The following is a 14,087-nucleotide window of genomic DNA, read 5'->3' as shown; positions in this document are numbered from 1 at the left end:
TATGCTGTGACTGGTGAATCTAGAATTTTAGGGGAATTCTTCTAGGAAACAACAGCATGCCAGTCATCATTATCCCCAGCCTTCCAGGATCGGTGAGCTGTGCACTTGTGAGCCTTCGTTATGGCTGAGGCTCCCTCTCTTCTAGTATTCCTTGTGTGTCCTGCAGCTCCCCACACTGTCAGGCCCCTGAAAGCCTGGAAGGACTATGCCTCTTATCTCTGTCTTTCCAGTGCCTGGCCCAGAGCGGAGCATCAGTGCTCAAATGAATGAATGAACTTATATCTTCTTGAGGAGGTCTCTCTGATGGCTCACAGATCTGACAGTCATAGAAAATTCCATTGAGAACTTTGCTTTTGTTAAAAAGGAATCAGAGTAACTTGCCCATCCTAAGGCTGATGCTACCAAGCTTTCCCCACACCACAGTGAGCAAAAGAATCTCTGGGATTTCATGATGTTGGGTTCATCCTACTTCAGTTCAAAGAGATGTGTTCTATTCCACACTTGGAATAAGGCATGAAATGGACTGTCCCCAGAAGCTTTCTCAGGGCCACACTCAGTGAAGTTTACTCTTTAGAAACCATCACCATAGCTGTGTTCTTCATACTAAGCCTCTTCAAAGAAGGCAATGTGTGAACCCTACATTTCTCTCTCTCGCTTCCTGAAGTCTGTCATGATGCAGGCTGAACAAATGTATCTCCTCACTGTGTTCTGTAGCCTTTTCCCCATTCTTTGGGCCTACTGCTGTTTTTTTAAAGTAATAATTACATACTTAATGGTGTACTAATCAAAAACAATACATTAATATATGTAATAATTAGTGATTATAATACATCCAATATTCTAATATATGTAATCACAAGTGATTATACAATATTTAATATGTATAATAATTAGTGATTATAATAACAATGACAACCTGTATTTCTAGGACAGGCACAGCTAGAATACACATACACACTGTAGGATAAATATAGATATATATATACACACACACACACATATGTGTATTTATGTATTTTTAAAAACATACTGCTGGAATATATATACATGTGTTTATATGTATAATCTCCATCAATCCTTACAATAACTTTACAAGGTTAGTTCTATTATCTCAATTCAATTCAACTCAATTCATTTCAATTGACGGTGAATCCAAGGCTCAGTAATTCCCAATGTCACATCACTAATAAGTGGCAGCATGTGAAATGAATCTGAGAGATCTGTCTACAGCCCAAACCCCTACCCTCTACACTATGCTTCACTACAAAAGCCACAAAGCTGCCTCCATCCTGTTAGGTTAATGGCATATCTTTTTAAATTCATGCATTCTCCTCCCAATCTTTCAGCCTCCCAAATAATAAGTAACCAAATAATAAGATTGTCTCCCAGGGTGAGATTTCATCTGAGGGATGAAGTGTACACACCTAGGGCTTTGATTTAATTCTCTTGGACTAAGCTGATTAAGTCCTGAGCAGTTTAGACTCTTTTATAATTTTATTAGATGAGATCATTAGATTTCAGAGATGAAATGAATGGAAGCCTGACTGGAGACTAAAATAGCCAAATCCAGCCGCATCAAGGGTTCCTTGGGGCTAGCTTTCAGGATTCAAACACTCAACAGTACATACAAAGCATGACTCTCTGAACAATAGGGATAAAATTTCAATATTAAGATAACTTTTATGATGCCAGGAAATACAGTGACACGCTTTTCTCTTGAAGCAGCATGCTTTTGCTTTAATGAAACCATAGATTATCGATTCTCAGACTCAGGGAATACTGTCCTAATGGATATGGTCTCGAGTTATATTACTACTACAGCCATTAACTCGTGCAACTAAAAGCAAATGACTTCACCTCCCTGGGTTTTATCTCCCTCCAACCTTTCTCCCAGAATTTAGACAAATGAGGACATTCAATTAAGAAGACATTTGTGTCCACGTGTAAAAGAGACAATAAAAATGGAATATGTCACTGCATGTGCTTCTTGCTGCTTTCCAGGGGTCAGGATTCCCCGAGCAAAACCATTGTAGTAATATCTCCACAGAAACAAAAATATCCCTGATTTTGTATATCACAGCAGATTCTATCCTAAGACAAATTATTCTTTTCTATCTTTATACCAATTCCTAATTTACCCACTACAAATGTCAACATTGCTCATATGAAGATGTCTCCCAAGCCTCTAACTATTAGCCATAATTTCTCATTCTTTGTTGAGTTTTATATTCCAGTTGTCCATGGGATATCTTTACTTGGATATGAAAACTTAGCACTTTTTCACCACCCTCTTCTCCCAGTTTCTTCATCTGGCAATGGCATCAGATATGACAGGCACAGAAATTCGTTTTTCTCATGTCTCATGTCAGATCGATTACCATGTCCAGCTCATTTTCTTTCCTTTTTATGTTTATAGTTCTATTCTTAATCCAGGACTCATTACCTTATCTCTAATTTTTTTGGCAATTGCCTTCCATCCTGTCCTCTGATCTCTTTCTACTATTTCTCTGATCTCTCCCTGCTATTATTCTACACTAAGTGGCTAGCTCAATGACACAGAAGTTTCCTCTTCTCTGTCATGGAAACTAATTTCTATCGTGGTCCTGATCTTCTGTCTCTTCTCCCTATGCCATCAGCCTCGAAAGTGTCTTTTCCAACTTACACCTCTAACGTGGGCCCTGCATTCCAGCCAAGCTCATTTGCACTTCTGCCCCAACACACTGTTGGCCTGTTTCCATTAATGTCATTCCAAAAGAATTAACTGAATGTAAGAATGGATACGTGGATGGACGGATGGATGCATACATGCATGCATGCCTGTGCCCAAACCTCAAATCTCCTCTGTTAACTCTATCCCTCAATACCACAATAAGAGAGAAATATGTACCTAGAGTCTTTGGAAATTGATCTCCTTCACAGCTTGCCACTACTGAGAATTGCTCTTCCCTTGGTTCATGTTGCAAACATGTGATCTGCAGTCTCCAATGTGTGTGTGTTCTCCTTCCTTGTGGCAGAGATTGCTAGCTGTTTACAAAACCCAATTCCTCTCATTGTATGTGACTGGGCGAGTAACTGGACTGCATTTCCCAACCTGCTTTGCAGTTTTAGAGGTGTGACTAATGGACTACAAAATGCGAGTGGAAGTGATGTGGGTAACTTCTAAGCTGTGGAGGCTCAATATCAGGCTATACCTCTCCTATGCTTTCTTTTTTGTGGTGGGAAAGGCAAAGAGCAAAGTGACCTCGGAAGTCAGGTGTTGATGATGGCAGAGCTGTCATCAGCCTGGGACCCTAAATGCAGTCATACACTGCATAATAACATGTTGATCAACACAGACCACATATACAACAGTAGTCACATAAGAATATAATGGAGCTAAAAAAATTCCTGTTGCCTAGTGATGTAGCCATTGTAAAGTCATAGTGCAATGCCTTACTCACTTGTTTATGGTGATGCTGGTGTACACAAACCTACTGCCTGGTAGGTTGCATACAGTACCTAATACTTGATAATGATAATAAATGACTATGTTGCTGGCTTATGTGTTTACTATACATTTTATCATTAGAGTGTACTCCTACTTATTAAAAAAAAATAAGTTAACTATAAAACAGTCTCAGGCAGGCCCTTCAGGAAGTGTTCCAGAAGAAGGCATTGTTGTCATAGGGAATGACAGTTCTATGTATTATTGCCCTGAAGACCCTCCACTGGACAAGACGCAGAGGTGGAAGACAGTGATATTGATGATCCTAGCCTTGTACAGGCCTAGGTTAATGTGTGTGTTTGTGTCTTCGTTTTTTAATTTCAAAATTTTACAAAGTAAAAAGCAGAAACAAAATTTTTAAAATAGAAAAGAACTTATAGGATAAAGATACAAAGAGTGAAAATATTGTTATACAGTTGTACAATGTGTCTGTTTTAAGCTAAGTATTATAAAGGGCCAAAAAGGTATTGAAAATTAAAAATATTATAAAGTTAAAAAGTTAAAATAAACTTATTAGAGAAAAAATATACCTTTATAAATTTAGTGTAGCCCAAGTGTACAGTGTTTATAGTCCACAGTAGTATAGGGTAATGTCCTAGGCCTGCAGAGTCACTCATCATGCACTCGCTGGTTCACTCAGAGCAACTTCCAGTCCTGCAAACTCCATTCACGGTAAGTGCCCTCTACAGGTGTGCCATTTTTTATCTTTTAATACAGTGTTTTCACTGTACCTTTCCTATATTTAGATGTGCTTAGATATATACTTACCATTGTGTTACAGTTGCCTACAATATTCAGGATAGTAACATGCTATACAGGTTTGTAGCCTAGAAGCAATGTGCTAGACCAGATAACCTAGGTATGTAGTACGCTATACCATCTAGGTTTTTATAAGTACACTCTATGATGTTCTCCAACAAAGAAGTCACCTAAGGAGGCATTTCCCCAGTGCTGAGCAACACATGACTATAATGAGGAGAGTCAACCACTGACTTGGAATATTTCCCTGGATGTGAAAGATAAATAAATTTCTATGTTCCTGAACCCACACATTTTTGCTGGATCTTGTTACAGCAGCTCAGCCCTCCCTAACTAATTCGCTTCTCTACTAGATCACCAGTGACCTGATTAGCTGCAGATGTCTGAGTGGTCAGACCCACACCGGGATGTGAATCAGAGCTGCAGAATTGCCTCCGGTAAGACCAGGTAATCCAATGAAAGGTGAGAAGAAAGGTGGGCTCTGCTGAGCTTTGCAATTGATCCTGAATATAAATGCAGGTTGAATCGTGGACAAGGAGGAAAATGTTTTAGAAGAATTAATGTGAAGTCAGTGCTGGAGGCTAGTGACTAGTGAGACAAAAGGTAAGAGAGTGGATTAAAATAACACCAGATCATTCTCACTAGGTTTGGTTCTATGCTAAGTCTATGAGGAACACTGGGCTCTATTCTAGAAGAGCTTAGAGTTTTCTTCCAATCTTACCTGGTAAACCTTTAAGACTCTTCCCTCTGTAGATTTCTGGGTTACTTCCTTATCCATGCTGTCTTTCAGAGAAAGTACAGGGTTGGGTTGAAGAGTCTTCTGAGGCCCTACAACAACTCTCCTCTGTTCTTTCTGGGCCTAAGCTGGGGCTGGAGTGTTGATAGCTGGGCTTTTTGCCAAGGCCTAAACTCCGTCCCCATTGCCAAGGGCAGCTCTGGTCAGGGTAAGTTGCAGATGGCTGAAGAAACTCCATCCTGGACCTCTGGATTAGGCTCTTTTCCAGGGGGTTAAGTGTGTATAGGAAGATCTTGGGCTGATAGAGGTTGGGTGCATTGGAGAAGCATTGAGTGTGCCAGTACAGAGGAAAGAGTAAGGGAGGGGAGGGCGGGTCACTAGGGCCCTGAGGAGCTGAAATTTGTAGACTTCAGGTTCATTCATTCATTCACTGCATAAGCAATTGTATACCATATAGTGATTTTCAGGCCCTATGCCTGTAGAACTTTGATGCTATGAAAGAGTCTAAAAAAGCAGTGTACCCAGATTTTTTTGTAAAGTCAAATGGAAACTAATAGCACAGTATATGGCCACATCTGATCTCTGTATATGTTGAAAGAAAAAACTTTCAACAATGTCTTTCCCTGTTGAAATTGTTAGAATTTTATAGAAATGTTTGGATTGAGCCACTCTGAGGTCCTCATCTTGGGCAGTCCATGGCTTGAAAGGAAATGAGGGGAGAGAAGGAAGTAGCACGGGTAAATAGTCATGATCTATGGGGAAGTGACATCCTCAAACCAAGAAGTCCAGGTGTGAGGATCAGCATAGGAGCCTCTAATGTGGCAGCTGGCAGGACAGCAGATCAGAGGGCTAAGAATTGTTTTTGAATGAAGAGACCTCTTACTGCAGTAACTTGATCAGCATCACAAAATCCAGACAGGGCTGAGGGACAGCATCATTTCCTAGACATAAGGCCAGAGTGGCCTGATTTCCTCAGGCCGAAGCTGGGATTCTAGTTTTAATGACAAAGCTTTGGCCCTTAGACTCAGGATCTAGAGATACATTTTGTCTGAAAGTTAAGGAAAGGAATGAAGAAGAATCATAGTACATGACTAGGGCAGCATAAAAGAATGTCTGGCCCCCCACATCTGTCACTGGGTCTCAAGCAGAGCCTTCGTTGCCAGCAACGTCCCTTCAAGATCAAGTCGTCAGCTCCGTAACCAGCTTATGCCAGGCTAGAACCTCATGGCCCCCAGTGATCAGTTACAAGCTGTCTCCACCATGAAGAGCTATCTTGGATCCTCAAATCTGTAGGACTCAGGCCAATGTGATTTTTTCACATCTAGAAAAATATGCTTTTGGGAAAGAAACCACTAAACTCAATCACTCTGGGTAAATGACTTTGATGATATGAATATGGTATGGTATGGTATGGTATGGTATGGTATGGTATGGTATGGTATGGTATGGTATGGTACAGTATTAGTTCTGATATGTTTGCACTTCAGTCATAAGAAGCCTTTATCCCAAAAATTGATCAACTAAGTTGGAGAAGTATTGGGAGATCAAGAGCATAAGACTTATGGTTAAGCTTTTCCATATTTCCTTCGCACCAGATGGGAATACGGGTATGGAGGGGTTGAGGGTAGGGGTTTCTGGGATAATATGATTGAGAGCAACAATGAAGTAACAGTTAAGGACAAGAGTCTGTTCCTGCCTTCACAAGTAAGCGGCTGTAGGACAATGGGCAAGTCAACTATCCTTTCTGTGACATAGTTACCTTTGGATAAAATCAGAATAACAATACTTTCTACCCTTACATGGGAATTATGAGGATCAAATGAGGTGATAGATGTGGACAACTTTACTAAATACATACAAATACATGACATAATATTGTGTGCTAATGTTGTCAACAATGAGATTGTGTGAGGAGGGTGGATTTGTTAAACAGAGATGTAGAAAGCAACACAGTCCCACACAATCATTCTCAGCATGGACCCTCCTAGTAGCAGAAGTGACTCCTACCACCAAGGAAAGCAAAACACACACACACACACACATACACACGCTCTTACACAGTCTGTGAGTCTGTGGATATAGGACAGGGAGCTCAGGTTACAGAAAGAACTGCCAGGCCAAGGCACAGATCAAAGCTAATCCATGGTAAATGAGTAAAATGGTCAGGTAGAAATTTATAGAATTTACATTGAAGATTTTGTTATGCCTTCCACAGAAATAACTAATAAAAACTTGCTACTTAAAGTAAACTTTAGGAAGGAGAAATGAGAAGCAATCTACAAGTAATAGCAAGTGCCTTAAAACAAGGATGCCAACTCCAAGGCAGACAGCCTGGTAGAAGTGTAATAGAAACCAGGATTATGAAGCAAAACAGTTTTGTGGCCTCAAATAAGGTGCGACTAAGGAAGGAGGGCCTCAAAAGTTTTGCCAGCTGACTGTTGAGGAGAAGGATGGCCATTTCTGTGCCATCTAGCGTGTAAGACGTGCAACATTCATAGCCTGTGTGAGTGCAGCCAGGACCAGGGCCAGGGCATTGGCAGCCAGAACCCCCGGCATGAGGTGGACCCAAAAGGAAGGGGCAGTGGAAATGCTCCCCAAAGTAGCTGTATTAGTCCGTTTTCACACTGCTGATAAACACACACCCAAGACTGGGTAAGTTATAAAGAAAAAGAGGTTTAATGGACTCACAGTTCCACGTAGGTGGGGAGGCCTCACAATCATGGCAGAAGCCACCTCTTCACAGGGTGGCAGGAGAGAGAATGAGAGCCAAGTGGAAGGGGAAACCCCTCAGAAAACGCAGATCTTGTGAGACTCATTCACTACCATGAGAACAATATGGGGGAAACTGGCCCCGTGATTCAATTATCTCCCACTGGGTCCCTCCCACAACACGTGGGAATTATGGGAGCTACAATTCAAGATGAGGTTCAGGTGAGGACACAGAGCCAAACCATATCCGTAGCTGAGAAGACAGCTTTCCTTCAGGAGCACCTAGGAGCTTACTCCTCCCCCTCCGAGGGCTGGCTGAGGTTCCAGTGATTTTCCTAGGAGAGGCTGCCCCAGACACAATACGAACCTCCAATTCCTCAGTGCACCCAGGCTGATGTGGCCACAGGAAGCAAAGCTGCTTGTGCATCATAAGGGTACAATTCTCCAGTTTGGTGCTTAAGAAAATAAAGCGCAAGTGAGGCCAACTTGCTTTCCATTGCCTACTTGAACCCTCCCTCCAAGTGCTTCCAACTTTAAAAGCAACTGGAACACAGAAAGCTCACTGGTAGTTAAAAATTCAGACAGAGTTCGACATGGATTACTTTTGTTCCTGGAATCTGTGTGGGCAGCTTTTCTTTAGTCCTCGACACTTAGCAAGGGACAAGGGACCACAGAAATTACAAAGGCAAGCTTCTAGAGAGCAATCCGTGGTGAGCTGTAATATGTTTACTTATGAATTAGCCTTTAATCAACAGATTTAATATTAATTAAAAATTCATAAGCTGCTCTTTGCATAGAAATGACATAATTATGTCTCTGATTCAACTTAAAGTGTCCACTGCAGAATGTGTAAAATGTTAATTAGTAGCGAAATGCACTTAAGAAAAAAATTCTTTTAATTATGTAATAAGGCTCATTACAATGGGTAATCAACAAAGCTGCCAAATTAGCCCTCTGGTGGCATTTTTCTACATAGAGCAAACAAACTTTTGTTTGTAGACAAGGTGTGGGGGTGTGTGTGTGTGTGTGTGTGTGTGTGTGTGAATAGACAGATTTTAAATTGCTGTGGAGAAGGAAGCAGCAGTAAGTCCCAGAAACAGTTAGAAATGACCTTGTAATCTCTCAATTCTGTCAGACAGTAAAGATGACGCAGATAAAGGAAGAAAGTCTGAAGTATTCCTCCACTAGTTGAGCAAATGCTCAAAACCTCCACTGGGTCTCACCCGATGTGGTGTGATCTTTCGGAGACCTGAGCTCTTTCTAATAGTGGTAGGAGTTCAGGCAGCAAGAGTATTAACAGGTATTGAGATAGCATCAACAGAATATAGAATATCAAAGAAACAGAAAATGTGATCCCTGCTTTTCATTGATATGACCCCAAAAACTGAGTCTCCATCCATCCCGTTTGTGCAGATGCCAGCGTCAAGAACTCATCAAACACACATTTGTGGGCCAGGCACAGTGGCTCACGCCTATAATCCCAGCACTCTCGTAGGCCGAGGCAGAAGGATCACTTGAGATCAAGAGATCGAGACCATCCTGGCCAACATGGTGAAACCCCATCTCTACTAAAAATACAAAACTTAGCCAGGCATGGTTGTGCATGCCTGTAATCCCAGCTACTCAGGAGGCTGAGGTGGGAGTAATCACTTGAACCTGGGAGGTGGAGGTTGCAGTGAGCCGAGATTGTGCCACTGCACTCCATCCTGGGCAACAGAATGAGACTCCGTCTCAAAAAAAAAAATTGTGAACAAAGATGCAACCCATCCATCAGTGGTTCACCATTCACTCATTCATTCATTAAGCCCAGTGCCAGGGGCACACAGAGGACAAAGGTTTGCTTCCAAGCAGCTCTTGAAAGCAGCTTGAGGAGCAAATTTAGGCTTTGAAAATCAGACCATCCCAGATTCCACACATCATAGCCTCATCCTCACTACACAGAGCCACAGGAGCTTAGGCAAATAACTGTTGAGACTCAATGTCCTCATCTACATGGGGGTTACTTTGTCTGCTTGGTGGAGTTCTATAAAGGTTCCAGTGAGACAATCAATGTAAAGGATTTGGCCCCCGCACGGCAAAAGGCAGTGCACAATGACTGTCTCTGCCCCATCCTCACTTCGTGGCTGGTGCTGCTTTGTCAGCCTTAGCTAAATTTAACACACAGTATGATATAAAGACAGTGGATTTTAAGAAATTCTCCATGGACTTTAAATTAACTAATGTTGGTATTAAGCTGGGTAGCCCTGAAAAGTTACGAAGGTTTCAGACCCACCTCTAGATGAGTGCAGAGCTACTGCATCTGAATGAGGATGATCAAGGAGGTCTTGGGCACCTTTCTATATTCAGTGGCTCAGAATACCTAGCTCACAGAGGGTGCTTAATACATGTGGAATTAACAAATGCATGAATCTGCTAGGCAGGCCACCCAGTGCACACGAACTAGCCCAAAGCAGGGAACAACCGAGAGCTTAATCACCCAGTTTAAGCAGACTTGCTGAGACCCTCTTTGCAAGGAGGCTGCCAACTGTCAGATTTCGCGGCTCCAGCAGAGGCACTGATCCATCTTGGAGCCTATGAGTTCATTCTGACAAATGCCTGGAACGTGAAATGGAATGAGGTTGCCATAGTGGATGTGTTCCAGGATGGATCAGGGATCCATCCAAGATGAGCTTGCCCAGTCTGTAATGCACAGGCTCAGTTCTAAAGTAAGCAGCCAATGCCACTGAGATCTCCTTACCACGCTCTCCCGCTGCCAGGATATGCCTTGTTTAGAAAGGAGGGCCAGAGCCTGTGTATGAAAACCAGGAGATCAGCACCAGCCAGGGCAAGGGCAGAAAGACTCTGAAATGTTCTGTTCAGCCTCAACCACTTCTGGTTGCCCTCCTTACTCAGATATTGCTTTTACAAAAGAATTTAATGAACAGTAAAGGATAGATTGCTTAGCTAGAGATAGATGATAGGTAGGTAGGTAGGTAGGTAGGTAGATACATAGATACATAAACATAGATGGATAGATAGAGAAGGTGGGAGGGTTCAGGCACGGCACTTTCCCAGAGGTATGAGCATTTACAAAGAGAATGCAAACCTTTAAAAAGGAAAATCCTGTGTGTGGGGATTCATGGGACAGCCCAAATTTGCCAGCTAAGTGGTACAGCCAGCCCTCAAACATAGGCTTTCTGATTCCAAATCATCATTTCAGGCTGCCCTCATACGTAACATTATATCCTAGGGAAATAAATATGAATAATCAGTTACTCTTGCTTTAAAAAATTCCTCCCACGACACAAAACCTGCTGTAGGAACAAAGTTAAGTTAAATAATTTGGGGGCTCTAATGACAACAATCAGATAATTGAGACAGGAAGAAACACCAAGTGTTTTGACTCCCAAAACCATTTTCTTATAACCCAATTTCAGTTTAAATCTACACAACAGCTGCTGGTGGTGTTACGTAATTCCCTAAAGGCACTACCTCCTAGAAGACAACATTGTAAATAACCGCATCAAATCCCAGCAAACTCTGGTCTCAGCAATGACCTTGAGGCTAATCGGACCTCTACTTTCTATATCCAACAGACACCCAGAAGTGCAGGATATGTCTGGGTGGGCTCCTCCAGGAGCTACATTCACTGTTGTAACCTACAAAACCATAGTAACAATCTCTATACAATTTGGATAATGACAGTCTGTAAGTGTGCTATTGGTTTTCATTATGATAGACCATATTACAAAACTAGCTATAAAATGTTAGATGGGCAGCAATGACCTTCATTTCAATATCAGATTCTTCCCTGACAGCCTCCTCAGTGTCCACTTCGGGATCACGCAGGTGCTGAGTTTCAGTCAGGGCATATGGGAACATTTTTGCTGTCCGTTTGTAATCAGAGCCATAGGAACTTGGGGTGCTTGTTAGCTCTGTAACTCAGATGTTAGCTGGGATTTCACAGACACTTAAGATCTAGGTAAGATGAATTCATGCCCTCTTATCAAAGCCCAAAGCCCTAAGCTCCCTCCTCAAAATTCCTCAGATCCTCAAATATTTATGCTTATATCATCTTTGACCTCCAATTCCCAGCTTCTGCTGTAATTTTGTTTTTCACTCTGCATCTTGTCCATTGATCTCTACTCTGGAATTGACCCAAACTAAGTATCCACTCTCCTAAATCCTCACCTTCAAAACAAGTTCAAATAGTAATAATTATTATTAATAACTAAGACATTGAGTACTTACTATATATCAAGCACTATTCAAAGCACCTATGTATAATGATGCATTTGGTCTGCCCAACAACCCTTTGAAAGATGTTCAGAACTGTTGCATGTACCATAATTAAGATTTGAGGATCACAGCGAAGCAACATCGCATTATGCACCCAAGAAAAACAATATACAATTCTGTCTAGTTCATTCTGGTTGCTCTGGTCTTCAGTTTTTTATAGTCTATCTCTGTCCCATGTAGCAAACCCAGCCTTTCACTCTCATCACATCTCCTTCTACTCTCTCCCATCCCAAATTTCCTCCTCACTTATTCTCCCTTAAATTAACCTAAGAACCTCTTTTTTTTTTTTTTTAGACGGAGTTTTGCTCTTGTCTCCCAGGCTGGAGTGCAATGGCGGGATCTCAGCTTACAGCAACCGCCGCCTCCTGGGAAGAATCTCTTTCTTATGCAGAGAAATTCTGCACCTACCCCCAAATTCACGTGTAGAAACAATTGCTATGCTCAGCAGAACAAGGAGACTCACTCTCCATGGGCAATGACTTCCCTTAGAAGGCAGCTTGGGTTATAAATAACACGTTTGCTTGAGGTTGTTGGTTCTTGTTGTTGTTATACCTAGAAACATATCAGGAATTGAACTGAAATCATTTGTGGACAATCACTTTTAATATTTTAAATTTAATTTCTTTGCATAGGTAGTACATTTTCAAGTTCTAAATTCAAAGAATTCAAAAGCATATACATAATAAGAATTCTCCTTTTGCCCCAGACCTCCAGCAACTGAATTCCTTTCCCAATAGCAACCAATTTCATCAAGTTGTGTACACTCCAGAAATATTTTAGGCATCTATAAATACACTTTCTGAAATTTCATCCTTCATTTTTTTATCATAATGATATGAAAATGGTAACATGTTTTGCCACTGTTTGGCACTTTGCTTCTTTCATTCAACAATAGCTCTTGGTGGTCATTCCATATTTACATGAACAGCCGCTTTATTCTTTGCTATGGTTGTGTATCTAACCAATTCCGTAGGGTGGACATTTATGTTGGTTCCAACCTTCTTCTCTTATAAACTATAGCACAATTAATAATATACCCATTAATCATCTCACATGTGTGTTCACACATAGACATTTAGGTTGATTCCGTATCTTGGCTATTGTGAATAGTGCTGCAATAAATACAGGGGTGCAGATATCACTTTGACATACTGGCTTCATTTCCTTTGAATATACACCCAGTAGTTGTACTGCTGGATGATATGGTAGTTCCATTTTTTTTCTTTTTGAGGAACCCTATATTATTTTCCATAATGGTTGTCCTAATTTATATTCCTACCAACAGTGTGTAAGGGTACCCTTTACTCCACATCCTTGACAATGCTTGTTATCTTTTGTCTTTTTGATGATAGCTATTCTTACTGGAGTGAGGTGACGTTTCACTGTGGTTTTAACTTGCATGTCCAGACCTTCCATGAACTGAGTTCAAGTTCTTTTTGCCCTATCTTCAACCGATCTTCTGCCCACCCTACACTCCAGGTCGACTGATCTCCCAGCTCATCCTCATCCACTCTCAGAGCATTTCTGCTTAAGATGCCTTCCTCAACCTCATTTTTCCACAATCTCTCCTCCAGGAATTCTTCTTCCTGGGCCCCTATCCCTCCAGTATCAGTGTATTCCTTTTCTGGACTCTTCTAGTGTTCTATTTATACCTCGCTATTGGCCTATTCTGCATTGTGATATGTGTATTTATTCATCTAACATTCGACAAGTATTATTTAGGCTCCATGATGTGCCGGGCACTGTGCTAAGTGCTGAGTAGACAGAGGTGACCAAAGCAGTGAGGAGCTCAGTCTGGAGCTCCTCGCAGAGCTCTAACCATCTAGAGGCCTGAATGGAGGCCTAAATCTCCTACCAGGGCAGTGGTTCTTAACGGCAGGTGGTGGTGGCCGTTTTGTCCCCCTGTGGGACATCTGGCAATGTCTGGAGACATTTTTGGTTGTCACAACTGGAAAGGGGTGCATTGCTATATAGTGAGTAGAGGCCAGGGGTGTTACTAAGCATCCTTCAATTCATAGAACCTGCACCCATAACAAAGAATTATCTGGCCAACCTGGACAACATAGTAACACCCCATCTCTACTAAAATTTTTTTAATTAGCCAGACATGGTGGTGCACCC

The 14,087-nt window shown here is 41.6% G+C and overlaps 1 long non-coding RNA gene across 1 annotated transcript; it reads left to right on the top strand.

Moving 5' to 3' along the window:
• The first annotated feature begins 3,455 nt into the window (after positions 1 to 3,455).
• Positions 3,456 to 4,846, top strand: LOC105370511 (uncharacterized). The gene is made up of 3 exons (XR_943896.3): positions 3,456 to 3,480; positions 4,597 to 4,680; positions 4,763 to 4,846. It is a non-coding gene; the product is annotated as an uncharacterized LOC105370511 (long non-coding RNA).
• Positions 4,847 to 14,087: the final 9,241 nt, after the last annotated feature.

Source organism: Homo sapiens, chromosome 14 (assembly GCF_000001405.40).
Source record: "Homo sapiens chromosome 14, GRCh38.p14 Primary Assembly".
Lineage (NCBI taxonomy): Eukaryota > Metazoa > Chordata > Mammalia > Primates > Hominidae > Homo > Homo sapiens.
The sequence above is the reverse complement of the archived record's forward strand: the minus strand, read 5'-3'. Positions and strand labels throughout refer to the sequence as shown.